The sequence below is a fragment of the Homo sapiens genome, chromosome 13, assembly GCF_000001405.40.
Source record: "Homo sapiens chromosome 13, GRCh38.p14 Primary Assembly".
Classification (NCBI taxonomy): Eukaryota; Metazoa; Chordata; class Mammalia; order Primates; family Hominidae; genus Homo; species Homo sapiens.
The window spans coordinates 63,718,410-63,736,514 of NC_000013.11; the positions used below are offsets into that span (position 1 = coordinate 63,718,410).

The 18,105-nt window shown below is 33.7% G+C and overlaps 2 long non-coding RNA genes across 2 annotated transcripts in view; one reads left to right on the top strand and one right to left on the bottom strand.

The window, feature by feature from the left end:
- LINC00395 (long intergenic non-protein coding RNA 395) overlaps positions 1-18,105 on the bottom strand; it is a 70,337-nt gene that overhangs the window by 50,728 nt on the left and 1,504 nt on the right. Inside the window, exons 2-3 of the long non-coding RNA NR_047011.1 lie at positions 10,980-11,100; positions 8,642-8,673 (exon numbers count right to left, since the gene is read on the bottom strand). This is a non-coding gene — a long non-coding RNA (long intergenic non-protein coding RNA 395). The remainder of the gene's footprint in view (positions 1-8,641; positions 8,674-10,979; positions 11,101-18,105) is intronic.
- On the top strand, positions 9,882-16,872 carry LOC105370235 (uncharacterized). The gene is made up of 3 exons (XR_942017.3): positions 9,882-9,957; positions 14,563-14,721; positions 16,718-16,872. It is a non-coding gene; the product is annotated as an uncharacterized LOC105370235 (long non-coding RNA).

Below are 18,105 nucleotides of genomic sequence, written 5' to 3' on the forward strand. Positions count from 1 at the left end.
TAATGAAGCAAGACCCAGTGGTATGCTGTCTTCAACAGACCTATCTCACATGCAGTGACACCCATAAGTTCAAAATAAAGAGATGAAGAAAAATCTACCAAGCAAATGGAAAACAGAAAAAAACAGGGATTGCAATTCTAATTTCAGACAAAATAGACTTTAGCAAAGATAAAAAAAGATAAAGAAGGGCATTACATACTGGTAAAGGGTTCAATTCAACAAGAAGACCTAACTATCTTAAATATATATGCAGCCAACACAGGAGCACCCAAATTCATAAAGCAAGTTATTAGAAACATTCAAAGAGATTCAAATAGTCTTTGAATACTCTGGAGGAAGTGAAGAAAGAGGGATCGTGATTTAGTATTTTTGAATAAACTTGATTTGATTTTCCATCTTTTTGACACACACCTTTAAATAAAAGCTTGTTAAATAAAACTGCACTTGTACAACTTAAAGATAAACTGAGGTATGCCAAACATCATCTTGATTCAGGTAATAGTATATTTTTCTCCTTTATGTTAATATTTAATTAATTAATTACTTACTTTTTTAGAGACAGGGTCTCACTCTGTTGCCCAGGCTGGAGTGCAGTGGAGGAATCCTCGCCCACTGCATCCTTGAGCTCCCACATAGCTTCATGGTAATATTCATACTATTTTTTCAATACTGTTTTTCTATTCTCTCTATTACCTGTGAGTTTTCATATCACAGATTTTTGGAATCAGATAAAATGGGGAGGGAAAATAAGTTATGCTCCCTGAGCCTATGTCAGTGGTCCCTAAGACTTATCCCAGGACTGGCAATTTGCTAGGAAGGCTCAATGAACTCAACATATAGTTATATTCATGTCTATTATTCAATGCAGCAAAAAGATACAAAGATAAATCCACAAAAGTAAAAGGTGAATGCAGCAAACTTTACAAGAAACTAGGTACAAGTATCCAAAAGTCCTCTCACAGTGGAGTCACACAGGCCTATCCTCCAACAATGAGTTATGACAATATATATGAAATATTGTCTATCAATATTTTATTAGTTCATTCATTAGCATATTCTAATTAGCTCATTAGAGACTCGGTGCCCAGGGTTTTTACTGGGGTTGGTCACGTAGGCACTTTTTGCTTTGTATATATCAAAATTCTTGGTTCTCAGAAGGTAAGTAGGTATTCGGCATAAACCATACTGTTTGCAAAAAAAGTTTAGGTATAATAGTTTCTCTTATAAATTTTGGGAATGGTAGGAACTCTACTGTAATCCATGTTCCCAGATCAGCTAACAGACAACCATAAGAGCAGTCCTTTCTAAGGATATCAGTCTCCAAACTACTACATTAACTCTTTTCTGCGCAATCTTTATTTGAAAATTAGAATAAATGCTTATGTTAGAATGCAGTTTATTATAAATAATACAAACATAGCATGCCTGTGGCAGGGTTACTTATGTAATGCTGTGTTTACTATTTTTATATTTTTTATTCATATATATCATTTCCCTGTACAACAAGAATTGAAGAAAAGTCAACTGTTTATTCTTTTCCTTCAGTTAATTCTTACATCCAATTCATGGATTAGTACTTTGTTATCAGTCATTTCAGACTGTCATAACAAAATATTGTAGTCTGAGTTGCTTACATGGTAGCAATTTATTTTCTTACAGTTGTGGAGGCTAGAAGTCTGAAACCTGGATGTCTGGATGTCAGCATAGTCAGGTTCTGCCTCTCTTTCTGGCTTATAGACTGCTGCTGCCTTTTCACTGGGTGCTCACACGACTTCCTTTTTGTGCATGCAAAGAAGGCAAGCTATATGTAGTCTATGCTTGAAAGGACACTGACACAATTATAAGGGCTCCATCCTTGTGTCCTCATCTGCTCTAACCTCCAGAGGCTTTATATCCAAATTCTGTCACACTGAGGGTTAGGGCTTCAACATATGAGTTTGGGGGAGGGGCAATCATTCAGTTTATAATAGTTTAATTTTTCTAACTTTATATTGAATCAGTTGATTAACAAAATCATTAACTTGTCTGGGATCATACTGAGAGTATCCTTTTTCTAAATTCCTGTCATCTTGTTATTGTTATGCCATTAAAACCTTTGAGAAATATATTATAATTGAACATATATAAAAAGTTAGAAAAACAATACAGGATAATAGAGAGTGGAAGGTAAATACGTTGTTTAAGCAAAATTAACAGAGCTAGCTATTGTCAGAAAGTGATTTCCAAAGTAAAAGAAAGCTTTTCTTAAACTCCAGATGTTGAATTTGAAGATCTAATGCAAGTCTCACAAATTAATATTGATGTGAAACCTACGGCAGTCACTTAACCTCTTTAAATGTCATTGTTGTTACCTGTTAAATTGAAATAATAATTAGACTCACATCACCTTTGAAGTCCCAATTACCCATGCCTTTACTTTCTAATTGTTTTAGAGTTTCACTTGTGTGTGTTTGGGGGGAGGGTAAAATTCTGGTTTATTTCTGTTAACATCTCCCTCTGCAGCTCTGTAGACATTTCATTTTCTGCTTGCCCCATTCTCCTAAATTATTTACTTTGCTGCAACCACTTTAAAGCTTTTACAATTATGTTGAAATATTCTACCAATGTTTACTAACATTCTTATCTTTGTAGGCTTCTAATTAAAAAAATTCTCTCATTGTACTAATAAAAATTGGTGAATAAAACGCTTTCTATTAAAACCTTTGCTGTTTAATAGCAAAGAGAAGAAACACACGTAAACAATATTTGAAATTGAAGTGACTTTATATCATATGTTATGTACATTAATATGACAAGGAAATTACAAAAAAAAAGTCAGATTGAGATTCCAGATATGTGATTTTGTTCTAGAGAAAACAGAATTTGAAACAAATGGGATGTTTATGCTATTCTGGTACAGCACTAAGTTTTATATGGGCCTAAGGTATAGAGCATAAGTTAAGGAATAAATGAGAGGCCCATTGGAGGAATGATGAGTATTTAATTTTGGTATAAAAAGTTGTAGAAATGGAAGACAAAACTGGAAATTTACTTACAAATTTTATAGTTCTCTCACATATTTACTGTATTTACCATTATTGAGAACTAGGTTAAACAAAATGCACAGATTCTATGAATTGCAACCCATTCAGTTTTCATGCTCATGATATGGCCTTAGATTTCAAATGTCAAAACAGAAAAGCATTATTATGTTTATTCAAAATGTACATTTATTTTCATGTCAGGTTTACTATCTTGAAAAAAAAAAACGGCTATGATTATTTCCTTCTCTATATCCAAACCCCTTTCCATGTGACTTAGCAGATTCTCCTAAGAAATGTGGTGAACTTTCTCACCCTTTCATAAGGGCTGGCCTTGTGTGATGGTTAATATTAAATGGCAACTTAATGCGATTGTAGGATGCAAAGTATTGTCTCTGGGTATATGTGGGTGTTTCTGGGTGTTGCCAGAAGAGATTAAGATTTGAGTCAGTGGACTAGGAGAGGAAGACCCATCCTCAGGAAGACCCATCTACAGTGTGGGTGGGCACCATCCAATTAGCTGCCAGACTGGCTAGGAAAAGGCAGAAGAAGGTGGAAGAAGCTGACTTGCTGAGTCTTCCAGCCTTCATCTTTCTCCCATGCTGGATGCTTCCTGCCCTCAAACATCTGACTTCAAGTTCTTTGGCTTTTGGACCCTTGGACTTACACCAGTGATTTGCCAGGGGCTCTCAGGCCTTTGGCCACAGACTGGAGGCTGCGCTATCGGCTTCCCTGCTTTTGAGGTTTTGGGACTTGGACTGAGCCACGACTGGCTTCCTTGCTCCTCAACTTGCAGATGACCTAATGTGGAACTTCACCTTGTGATTGTGTGAATCAAGTCTCCTTAATAAACTCCCATTCAGATATACATATATCTGATTAGTTCTATCCATCTAGAGAACCCTGACTAATATACCTGGGACGTGCTTCAGTCAGTAGAGTGTGGCAGAAGTGACAGGTTGTCAATTCTGAGCCTCCCTCAAGTTATCTAGTATATTTTTGCCCTTTTTCTTGGGTTTCTGAAGAGCAAGCCCAATCTAGGATGGTGGTGCATAAGAAAATATGTGAGGTAGAGCTGAGTCAACTCTTTCATCTCTACCAGGTTTCCAGATACACAGAAAAACCTAGCCAAGATTAGCAAAGCCAATCTGCCATTGATCCTCTAACTGACCTCTAAAAATTGAGCAAAACTCTCTTAGTCATTTTCCAGCTGACCTACTGATTTGCCAGCTAAATAAATGCAGCTATTTTACGCCACAATATGTTTTGAATTGTATGTTACATAGCAATGACTGTTACATTATCAGATGGAAAGTGCTATTATTCAAAGTACATTTTTTGTACTAGTATTTCCATTACCTAATATAGGGATTGGAATGTGTATATGCACAAAATGGAAATGAAATTACAAGTACTTAATAAAATAAATGAATAAATACAACAATAAAATAAAATAAATAAAAAATTATAAGTACTTAAAAACATAAAGAAATTGTCATAAAAAATCCTTAAAAGATGGTTACCAGAAGCTGGGAAGGGTAGTTGGTGGGTGAGAGGAAGGAGGGGAGATGGTTAATGTGTACAAAAAATAATTTAAAAGAATAAATAAAACCGTAGTTGATAGCACACCAAGGGCACTATAGTCAATAGTAATTTAATTTGACATTTAAAAATAACTAAAAGAGTATAATTGGATTGTTTCTAACACAAAAGTTAAATGCTTGAGGGCATAGATACCCAATTTTCCACTATGTGATTATTACACATTGCATGCCTGTACCAAAATATCTCACATACCCCATAAATATGTACACTGACTATATACCTAAAAAATTCAAAATTAAAAAAATCTAATTAGAAATTGCTTAAAGATATTAATGAAACAGCAAACAAAGGGTTTGTATTAGTTTCTTCTCACACTGCTATGAAGAAATACCTGAGACTGGGTAATTTATAAAGGAAAAATGTTTAATTGATTCACAGCACTGAATGGCTGGGGAGGCCTCAAGAAACTTACAAAACGTCATGGCAGAAGGCAAAGGAAAAGCTGACACCTTCTTCGTATGGTGGCAGGACAGAGTGAGTACAAGAAGGGGAAATGCCAGATGTGTATAAAACCATCAGATCTTGTGAGAATTCACTCACTACCGTGAGAACAACAGCGGGGAAACCGCCCCCATGATCCAATTACCTCCACCTGGTTCCACCCTTGACACATGGGGATTATGGGAATTACAAGAGATTTCAAGAGGACACAAAGCAAAACCGTATCAGGGGCACTCTTCATTATTAATTGTAATTTTTAATAAAAGTATTACTTCCGCGTGGTGCATTTTTTTATACACTGGTATTTGTTTAATCCTCCTTGCATAGCCCACTGCTTAGAATATAGTAAAAGCATTGTAAGTACATGTTCGTTTTAATAAATAATGTTAAAATATTGAAGGTGAATGAGTCTTACATAATTTACTAATTTAATTTCTCTTATTTTAAAATCTTATTATATTCATTCAGTCCTCCCTCCATATTTATGGGTTCTGCATCCATGGATGTAACCAAGCTCTGATTAAAAAAAACTTATAAAATGCAATAAAAATAACTCAAATAAAAAACAATACAATAAAACAACTATTCATATAGTTGTATATATAAACATATATAAATAGCATTATATATGTAAATGTATTACATATATAATGTAATATATATAGCATTACATATATAAATAGCTTTACATATAAATATAGCATTACATAAAATAAATATAGCATTGCAAATACTACACCATTTTTGTATCTATAAGGAGAATTTTGTATCTATTAGGGGTCCTAGAACCAATCACTACATGATATCAAAGGATAACTGCATGGTTTAAATGGTAACTTTTCATTAAACAAAATAGTCAGTGACCTAGAGTAATTAATCACATCTCTGTTTGTGTGTTTGTTTATATGCGTGTGTGTGTGTGTGTGTGTGTGTGTGTGTGTAACTTCAAGCAAAATGTGTTCCATGTATCACAACCTATGTAAATGTTTAGTTTAAATAGGTATTGTAACTGAAAGCCAGTGAAATAAATAATGAAGTATTTCTGATTGATTATTTTTTAGAAATATTAAAATAGTCATTTAAAACCTAATTCAACAAGAAATAGCCAGATGTTCAGAAATGAATAAAGAAATTTCATAGGATGACTTTTAAAAATTGGTTTCTGTATCCAATTTCATTAAAATGTTTGAACAACAAAACTCATATTTTCATAGAAGATATAGCATCATTTTGTTAAAAATTACCCAACTTCAAAAATTGTCTCTTATGAATAATAATAAGTGTACAATTTACTTTCTAATGTTACAAATGCTGCAATGTATAAGAAAGCTTGAACGTATAAAGAAAACAGAAAATTTATATTTGAAAAAAAGGAAATTTGTATCTATGTCAGTATAATTTTTAGGTTTAATTAAATAAAAATAAGCTGGTGAAAAATAAAACCACACTGACTTATTTTGAATTCATATATATGCCAAACTATATCATTATAAGAAAAATATTAAACAAAAACATAAAACTGACCAATTTATCATGTGCAGAGCACCATCTCAACAAAGTTATTTATTAAAGCTGCATGAATTCCAAATACCCATATGAGGTATAATTGTAGCTGCTAATAAGTAACTACATATAATTCAAAACTATTATAACCTAGCTGTCTAATGAGACAGTAATTTCTTCCTCTGACAGCTTCATTTTAAAGAATTCACATTATTTATGCTCCATCATGGATTATAAACTATGAAAAGGTTAAATTATAATGAGTGCCGATTTTATTTCACTGCAAAGGGCAGAGAATTTATAAAGAATGCATATTAATTTAATTACTCCTCTAATAATAATACTATGCACATGTGAAGAAGATTAGCTCAGAAGAAAGTAAGTCTGAAAGCCCAATGGAAGACAAAGCAATATGAAGAGGCTATAATAAATTGTTAAATGGAATTTGACTTTGACTCTTGACTTAATAACAGCAACATATTAGCTTAGGTAAATGCATCAATCATGATTTTTTTTCATGTAGGATGTATCAGTCAGGATAGAATGGTTGTGTTGTGCTAACAATGGATATGACACGACTGAATTATATCTCTCAGTTCCAAGCATTCTCAATCTTCCAAAGGTTATCTTAGCATTTTAGTTAGGTTCCTTTGGTCTCCAGGGCACCTACTCATAAACGTATATTCACATGGACTGGATCTGGATAATCAAGGATGAGGAATTAAACGCTTCTGCCCAGAAATGAGAGCTATTACTTTTGCTCATATTCATTGTCACAAGCAATTCATTTCACTATGGCCTAACTTAAAAAATACAGGAAAGTTCACTCTTTCCAGCTGCCAGAAAAGGAAGAGAACCTGATGTGTGGTTTACTTGTGATATCATTTACTCTTCCATGTTTTAGAAATTTTGCTATATACTTAAGTTTGTTAGGGATAACATACTTAATTGAAGAATACAATTTTAAAGTTAATCACCCAATGGTGATGAAAATCATGCACAATATTGCATGATTCTTTCAAAGTGAACATTTCTTGAAAGTTCCATGACTTTAAAACAGACAGCCTAGAGCTGACGGCATTAATTTGCCATTTGGCACTTTAAATTGACTATTAGTAATCTTTGATTTTCAAAAGATAAGTGTCTTTTTTTACAATTAAATCAACGCATTTTTGAAAATCAGATTTAAAAGTTGTAGTTATGACAGAAAAAGGCATTTAAAAAAATTTTCTTAGGAAAACGTAATTGCAATAAAGTTAAGACGGCACTTTAAGAACATTTGCTTTTCAAATATAGTCAATCAAAAGTTTTATCCAAATGCCTTAATATTATTACAACCACCAACCTATTGCAAAATGTACTGATTTAATTAAATGGTAAGAGAATCATTTAAAATTGCTCCTGAAAAATCTACAATTTAGAAAATAAATAATTTATCATTACTGCATATTAATTGAAAATCATTTTTATTTGTGACATTATGTAATTATGTACTTGAGTTAAATTTTTCAAAAAAATCTTTGGTGAACCTGTATTAATTTATAATGTGAAAAATTATGGTTTCATATTCATACTATAGAAAACTTCCTGTAGTATCATAGCCCAATGATATGCATGAACAAGATATTAAAGCCAGCTGCAAAATTAACCTTTGCTCTTATGTAATATAGCAAAACATTCACTATTTAGAGGTGAAAAGCCTGCCTCTACTTATTCTAATTTCATCGTATACTATATTGTTGATACTGGCAATTATCTTCTTTCTCTATTATATTTCAGAAATTGTATCTATAAAATAGTTTCCGTTTATTGTGGACTACGAGAAGTCTACTTTAAAGATAGCATTCGTAATTTAGTTGTTTTTTGAACTTTTATTATAAATATTAATCCAAAATCTTATAAACTCTGGATTTCAATACTATTCAACTAACTTATATTCTACATATTCTTCATTGCTTGAACGGAATGGTAAAATTAACAACAATAACAGCAATAAATTATAGTAACAAAAGGAGAAGAGAAAAAAGTGAAGGATATATGATGGGTAAGATGAAGAAAAAAATTGAACTTGCCAGTCATCAATGACGAACTTTTCTTCTGTGCTCTATGGGTTAAGAAAATCATCTATATGAATTTTAGTTGGACCTTATAAATTATTTTGTTCAGTGTATTAACATTTAAATTTATTAAAGTTTTAATGTATGCTCTACTATTAACTAAGCATTTAAAACATGCATCCAGAATGAAAACTTTCCTTATAATTTCTTCACATGGAAGAAAACTAACCTTTTTGGTAAATTATACAGCACACTCTTTCTATCTATATCCTACTAATCTGACAAATTATCGAACTTTCAATCAGAAAACCACCACATAAACCATAATATTGAATTCAGTAAAGTTTTTGATGTTAAAACAAGTGGAGAACCAACTAAAGAAATGAATTATTAATGTAATGAAAGTTTCTGACAGGTGGTAAAAGCCCTAGTGTTATGAAGATCAATGTACAGACATCCTTCAGATGTCAAATCTTGTTCCTAACAGAAACATAAACATGTTTGGGAAATATGTATTAAGGAACAAAAAATTACTTTATCCACATCTAGGCTTTAGAATATATCTTTTAGCTAAAAAACGAAAATATAGATAATACAATCTATAATATGTTCACATAAAATAGGATTGTATTTTGTATTTTCATTGAATGTATTTTTATTTTATATTTTTCTCCATTTTAAAAGACACAAAAATACTCAACAAAAATAAATTTAAAAAATATTTCCCAAAAGAAAGTTTAATAATAAATACTAGAAAACATATATAAGGCTTTTATTCCTATTTCAAAGCATTTTATGTTTTCAGGTTTAAAAAAAAGTCATAAAAAGTGTACATTTTTCCAGAATTTTTGAATTTGCACTTTTACAAGACTAGAATGGCATCCTTCATTAGAGTAATTTTACATGGTTGAGATATTTGTTTAAAAAATTGAAGTTATAAAGAGCATTAGAAACAGCAATAACTCTTGATTAATATCCACAATCCTACTATCAACTTGTTAGTCTGGTAGATGAATCAGTAAAATTCAGAAGTTTTTATAAATTACTGGGAAGAAACCCAATTCTATTGCAAAGCAATAAAGAATTAGATTTAGTGATATTTTTAAAAAATAACTTTCCTGAGCCTTTTCAATATATCTTAAATGTGTTATTTAGCCCTTCCAATAAGCCCATTTGTAGATATTATCTTCATTTAGCTGTTATTATAACAACTGTTAAAGTCATATTTAACATTACTGTCTTATTTCATCCTCACAGCATCTCAATGAGAGGATTGGTATTAATTTCCTCATCATTTGATTGACTGATAATCAGCTTTCATCATTTCATAGGTGAGAACACTGAGGCATAAAGAGGCTAGAAAACTTGCCTGTGTCACACAGCTAATTTTTGGCCACATAGGCTTGAAGTTCTGCCTAGGAATGACATTATTCTTCTCTGAATAGTAATCTTTACTTAGACTCTTAAATATCCTCCACAATTTTAAAAAGCATTTGCCTTAATCTCTTTCTCCTTCTTATCGCTCTATCCTTCCCCACTCCCCTTCTTTCTGTATGAATGGATAAGTCTGAGTTTGATTTTAGCACATTTAGCACTTTGAGTTATCTTTATGACATGGAATACCTAGGAGTGTTTAGAATAAAGGATCAATAAACAAATATAATATCCTTCTGAGTTCTACTCACATTCTTTAGATACAAATGTCTAAGAACAAGTTTTGATGCCTGTCAATAGTTATGCCCTTCTGAGTTAGAAAGACGTAATATAATCAAATATTTTTTCATATATTTTATAAACTCAATACCAAGAACAAACAAATGAAAGAAAAGTTTATTAATATATCCTATCCTTATCCATGCATTGGATATTTTAAAATATACTCTTTTCTCATTTTAGACTACTTGCCCAGAAATATATCTATCTTCTAAAATTATATTCATAAGTAATTATTAACATACTTCAGGAACAAGGATCAAAGTATATCACCTTGTTTTCTGCTGAGAAGTAAGTCCTGAAAATGTAATGGTGGCATTCTAGTCCAGGAAGCAACGCTTCTGCTTTTTCCACAGTAAGCAGTTATCAGTATTTCTGAGCAGCCACAGTGATTACAGACACACTCTGATAAAGGTTTCACTATTTTCAGACTCTGGCCTGATAAGTCAAGATATCGAGTTTTGTCAAACTGCTGAGATATTTAGAAAGTCAGCAATCAGATTCACTAAGTAATCCTTTATAATAGCAACAAGACTCCTAGGACACTTTCTTTTTTGAGTAGGTTTAGGTGAATCATCTGGTTTAGCTTGACCTCTTGTCTTCTTGTACCAGCTAAGACAGATTCCTAATTTAAAAATACCTGGGGAGTAAAATCGGTAGCATCTGGAAGGGAAGGCTTTGTAGCATCTGGAGTGATGAGAGCTTTTGATCCCCATTTCCCTGTAGGTCTCTGACTTTGCAATTACATTTGAAGGACTTCTCTGTTGAATAATAGTCCCAGTCAAGGTGATATAATCATAGACAGGGGGAGAGGAAACAAGGGAGGAATAAAAAACCAAAATCTTCGAATGGAGACTTTGATTTTCTTTGTTATTATAATACAATAAAATGATTGTTTTTCCTGGCTTAAACACTCTTACTTATTTCAGTTAGGTGCCTTGACTCTTATTAGGCATTTCACAAATAATCTTTATCTGTTGTGTTTTTAAATTGTATAACCCCTGCCAAGTTGAAAGCACACACCTTAACAAAGAATTTAGGCAACTAAACCTTTCTAACAGCTTCATCAACCATGGAGGTTGGCCATTCTAGTCATTTCCACATTTGATTGCTTTATTTTATAATTATAGAAAAAGTTTCCGTTAATCATTGGCATGTTTTCAGTGACAAGTAGCAAGGACAAAAATCAAAGGAAAAAAAAATGATGGGAAGGGCGTAGTGTACCCAGGGATTGCTTTACTGAGGAGCAGGTATGTGAACAAAGAACTGCAAGACGCCAGGTAGCTAGGCAGGTATATGTCTGGGAAATAAACTTTTGAGATGAAGAGAAGAGCAAATTCAAAGAACTGGAGGCAGAAGTGTGCCTGACATTTTTGAGAAAGATTGAGGTTAGTGAAACTGAGCCGAGTGAACAAGTGGCAGAATGGGAGGAATTGAGATAAAGGCTCGGGAGGAAACAAAAGCGCTGGATGTTCTGGGATCTTGTAAGGACTGTGGCTTTTACTGTGAGAAGGTGTGAAGCAAAGGAGGGGCAAGATCTACTTTTGAAGAGAATCACTCAGACTGCTGGATGGAAAATAGACTGAGGAGAGGTGATAGCACAAAAGAAGAGTGACAGTTCAGAAGGCAATCAGTGACCCAGAGATGCTGGAGACTTGGGCCAAAGAAGTAGTAGCTGAAGTTTTGAGATGTAGATGGATTGTTGATATAATTTGGAATTTTCTATGAATATATGAATAGATTTGATGACCAACTAAATGTGGGGACACAAAGCCTAGGGTGATTCCAAGGTTTTTGGCCTGAGAAACTGGAACAATGAAGTTTCCATTTATTGAGATAATGTTGTTGGATTGTCCTAAAAATATACATTATCCATGGTGATTAAAATGATGCCGAGAAAACTGGTGCTTAAAATTACTTTCTTGGCTGGGCGCAGTGGCTCATGCCTGTAATCCCAGCACTTTGGGATGCTGAAGCGGGTGGATCACCTGAGGTCAGGAGTTTGAGACCAGCCTGGCCAATGTGGAGAAACCCCGTCTCTACTAAAATACAAAAATTAGCCGGGCATGGTGGCGGGAGCCTGTAGTCCCAGCTACTCAGGAGGCTGAGGCAGAAGTATCGCTTGAACCTGGGAGGCAGAGGTTGCAGTGAGCAGAGATCGCGTCACTGCACTCCAGCCTGGGTGACAGAGTGGGACTTTGTCTCAAAAAAATTACTTTCACAAGTGTGTCTGTTAGCATTGAAGAAATAAGCCCCCTTGAGTGTGTTTTACCATGAGTGATAAATATTTTATACTTGTATTTATTCGTAAAGCAACTCAAGACATGAATGTGTATTTTTTTCTAATAGAAAACAAAATATGACCTACCTCAGACAAATGTAAAATATAAGTTATCTGTGCTGTCTTTTGCATCTTTTTCTAGAGTTTTTTCAAAGAAACATTATGCTTGAAATGGACTTTTCTATAGCAGCTTATTTCTTTGTTTTATCTAGTGAAAATTAAGTTCAATATATATATTTGAATTGATAATACACATAAAACACTGTTTTAGGTGCCAGGTAAATTTTTGTTAAAGAAACCATTTAATCAAGTGTCCACTGTAATAGAAGCATAGATTAGGTAAGTATGACATTACATGTTTCTTGGATCCAAGAAATAGAAAAAATAAGACCTGCAGTATTCCGGTTCAAAGTATTCCTATTACAAACCTACTGACATAATGAACAGAGGACTTTATATGACAAGACTTCACCTTGATAGATACAGATCCATTTGTGGTCTCTTACACAGCAGTGTTCAATGACAATTTTGAACAATTTAAAAATCAGGCCTCATTATTACCTTCTGATTTTAAACAAGTAATTAAACTGCTTTCAGTTTTTATTTCTTCAGATGTAAAGAAAAGAAACTAAGGGATATCCAGTCAATAGAACAAATTGAACCAATATTAAAGGATTGTTTTCCCCATCTCATTTGTCTAATTTCAGATTAAAATACTGAAGCAAATAATGAAGGAAAATAAGTTTTAATACATATTTGCATCTGAGACTACCTAAGATGGGCTAATCAGCTACTCTGGATTGACCAATTCTTATTCCCAAGGTTTCTGGGAGCCTGACAAGACTTTTGGGCCAATGCTATGAAATATATGGAATAGAAACAAATAATGTTTTGTGATCATAGATCTGTGAGTTGTTTTGGGAGCAGACCATACCATCCTAGCTATTTATTAACAGTAATTGAATGTGTGATTTTAAACTTATGTTTAGTGAAGCCTGAAAAGTTTTGATAGATAAGGCTTGGTCACATAGCTGGAATGTGCTTACACAGCCAGCTTATATAAGAAATCAGGGCAGTCTTTGGACTTCCTGGTACAAAGTGCATTGCAGGTACGCTGGTGATGGTTTCAGACATGGAGGTCCAGGAAACCCAACAGTATGAGGAAGAATACGTCTGTGCCTTAGCTGTCAGGACACATTTCAGTGCATATCCTTTTCCTGATACTGCTGTACCGAGTACCTTGCCTATATAGGAAAGCTGTTCCACAAGTATGAAACCTTGTGGGCCCAGTGATTTGCCTTATAGTCATTAATGCACAATTAAAGCTAAAACCAAGGCAGGTAAATTCCAGGTTCCAGAAATAAAAATCGAATCTAAGTCAGAAGAGTAGGTAAAGCTAACATTTCTCTAGATCTTAAGAATTGGACATGGGTTTCTGAAGTTTGAATGCCTCTTATGAGGAGAGAAAGAATGTAATTGTCCCACAGTCAGACATCATGGCTATGATTTTAGGATCCCATCCTGTAAGACAGTTGTCTGGATGGGCTTGGACCAAACCAGTTTTATTCCCTTTCTTTCTTGTAGTTCTCAAGAATAACTGTAGAATGTGCTGGGAATGCAACACCTTGAGATTATGGGAAGATGCCTGAAACAGCCCAGGATCTCTTCTAATTCCCCCTGGATATGGGATGACTTTTATTCTGGGGATCTCATTGCCCCAGAATAAAAAACTTAGGATGGGCTGTTTTTCAGACTCCCTCAGCTACAGTGCAAGGGGGCACACACACAGGAGACTCCATCTGCCCCAAGCAGTGTTTCTGAAGCTTAGGGGACTGGCTCACATTGATTCTCAGGGTTCTGTTGTCCCTTTCTGCCTATCTGTAAGTATTAATAATAAACTCACTCCATGTAACTTGTATACATGGGTGTTCTGTCTCACCAGACCCAGACAAGTTGGCAACCAGTGCACAGTGAACCTGCTTCACACATGCTGATTTGGCCTTTTATAGAGGAGAAAATATATGAACCCAGCAGCCACCCCAAAAATTGTCTGCTGAAACATCATGTTTCCAGATAAAAGAATCATTTAATGACTTGCAAGGTACTCTCATTGTGTCTCAACTTCTCCACACTGACCATTGTAACTAGTTAGTATCTATTGTAATTGTCAGGATATCCTTCTGTTCCTTAAATATGCCACTCTGAATTTGAAGAAGAAAGTTTAAGGAAGAGGAAGAAGTGTTAACTTTATTTGTCCTGTGGTGTGTGGTGTGTGTATGTGTGCGTGTGTGTGTCTGCACACACAAGTGTGATTGTCTATGTCTTGCTGAGTTTTACAGAGATTAATCTTTTGTGATCACCAGGTTGTATGGCAGAATTTGACACATGTTATTCTATTTAGCTGTTCTATGGTAACCTGGTGTGGTTAGTATAATCTCTATGTTAAAGATCAGTAAATGGAAGCAGACAGAATTTAAGAGGCACCTCACAGATGACATAACTTGTTAGTGATTTGGCTATGACTGGGATCCAATTCCAAAGTTTTACTAATTTACCATTCTATTTAAGGATAGGAGGGAGTTACTCGAATCCATGTACTGGCTCAACAATATTTTCAGAGAACTAATGTTGCTTCTGTTCTAAAACTGAAAAATCCAGTATGCAAAATATGGCAAATACATTGAAAAAGACACTGGAAATTAGCCAGTGAGTTTGAAGGATTGAAATGCTGTACCTTGTTTTAGTTAGGGGAGTATTGCTATTGCTATTTTGTTCATTTTTTTGAACTCAAAGATATTCTGTAGCTAGTTTTATTCTGTTGTTAAGACTGTAACAGAGCCAAAGAAGGAAAAAGCATACAGAGTGCTGCTTTGTTGTTTAAAATAATTCACTTTTAAATATTAGGGCAGAGAAAACAGGAGACATAGCCCTTTGGGTAAAAATAATCAATAAGAATTATACTTCCTTCATGGACAAGTGTGTAGATACTGAAAGTAGCCAGTTTAAATGAATCATGGTGTCTAGGTTTTGCTCCTATGAATGACAAAGTCTGATTCTATGAGTAGTATTCCAATCTTTTAATTTTAAAAAATAACTATTTTAGCTCAAGAGGAAGGTATGTCAGTAGGACTGATGATCTTCCTATTTTCAACAGAATGATGAACCTCTAAAGTTGATTCAAGCTCTTGCACTCTTATTAAAAAGCTCTTGACAAAAAGTACCAAGTTTTGAAGCAATCCTACCCTTATGGAGTGATTTAAGAATCTTGGTTTAGAATTATTGGATGCCTATTTTTAGAAGTTCCCTTCTCATGTATCTTTATTGATTCAAAGTGTCATTACATTTCTGGAGCTGTAAGGAAATTGTCTGCTCACAATTCAAGGATTCAAGAATGTTCTACTACAGAAAAAATCTTGGGTAGTTCAGCTTTTCATTTTCATTGGAACTGAGGGAAATTGCTCAAGTGAAATATAAAGTGCTGAGTTTAAAAAATAGCCTTAAGGTTTTACTAAGTAGACACTTCATGTATAGTTGACAGAGTTTCTAGGCAAATATTTAAGTTCATCTAACTACAGGTTATCTATAAGTGGGGAAGAAAGGGAGATGATTTTGTTTGTGCGTACAAGACAAACACAAAGTAAATATATATATATATTTCAATAAATTAATGAAAATAAATGGCAGAACAACATAAGCTGATAAACATCAATGCAGCATTATATATATTATCTTTCAAACATATGATCAAGGATGACATTGAATTTCTATAACAATTGCTCTAGCATGAGCTTTAGCTAACAAAATGCACACCTGCCATACTGGAGCAACCTGGGACCCACTGGTGCATATTGGCTAGATAACAGCCTTATTCATGGCCAAGTGAAGCAATGGTGAGATTAGAAATGCAGCCTCTATCACTATGCAGTGATAGACATAAAGAACCCTAACATAAATTTACAAATTGTTATGGCATCATTGTTATTAGCAGTGCAAAAAAGAAGTATACAACACATACCTGTGGTTTTAATTGCATTTTATATTTGAACAATTTGTCTATATTTTTCAATCATGTAACTAACAAAATACTTCTATTTCAGTAAATCAAAATGGAAAGAGGAGAGAATATATGGACAGAAATATTTTTACATTAGCACAAGAAGCTGCATGGCAGATTTAGAAAGAAGAGTGATTTCTCAGCAAAATACTAGTATGGGCAACAAGGTGAGAATAAAAGCTTCAAAAAACTGGCAACTGCTTATGAAAACTGCTATGAGTTATGCAATAAGATTCAAAAGGTATTCTACATGCAATAAAATTTTAAAATCTCTGATTGAAGGAGTGTGTTTTTGTGATATTTGAGTGAGCTGTCAACAAAGATGTAAGTACTCTACAGTAACTAAGCAGACAGTTAGAGGTTCACACACTTAAGGATGAGCAGCTCAGTTATACAAAAAAAAAGTCTAAGGACTGAGTAATTTTATAATATAGCTAGACTTCAGGTTTAGCAAGGAGCAAATAAAGCCATAAAAAGTTGATAGCTGGAGAGATTAAAGTTGGAGGCAGCAGGTTGTAGAAAAGAGAGCTGAGAAGTATAAATTTTTGAAAAGGACAGATAGAAAGTAATGTCAATGTGTTATCTAAGTGCTTATACTTACACCAACAAAGCTTGTTAATTTTAGGAAAAATATAAAAGTAGAGAAGTAAGTAATGGGTTAAGGTAATACCAGTAAGATGTAACAAATAAAGCTTGAAATGTAGTGTCCTAGTTCAATAAATACTCATTTCTAACTCACATAAAGACTGACTTCTAAATCATTTACTGAGTTCAGGTGTCACATTTAATGTCACACCTAAAGATATCAAGTCTTGAATTCTATTTTTAGGAAAACTGACATCCTAATAGGGGATGGGTAAATAGCAAGTGTATTATAAATCAATTAGATTTAGAAATAGATAAAAACAAAAGATACAATAGGAAATAAACTAGGCAATTTCTGAACATTTAAATATATTTACCTTGAAGAAAATATGCAAATTTTTGACATAGTATTGAGGGGAAAGTAAGTTTCCTTGTCATGAACAGATGTATCTGTGAATAGCCTGTGGTGAAATCATGTGGCAAAAGGGGAATATGTTCTGACTGATGGGATATGCAGCAGCACAAGACAATTCTTTTTCCAGTCCCCTCTACTAGATGCCTCTACTCTCTCATGGTTTTGCCTCTGAGAGAGATAGATCTGAAATAATAATAGTAGTTTAGAGTGAAATTAACTAATACCTAACTACAACTGCAACTAATACCCCAGATAGAGCTTCCTGAATGGAAAAAGTCAAGACATCCCCTAACACTTGGAGATAACAATTTATAAAATGATTTTCTCTACCCTAATAGAGAAACCTTACAACTTACCACAACATTAATCAGACTTCTGTCTAATAACAGGGGATCTGAGTTGGAATAACTGAGACTCAGACTTTTTAAATG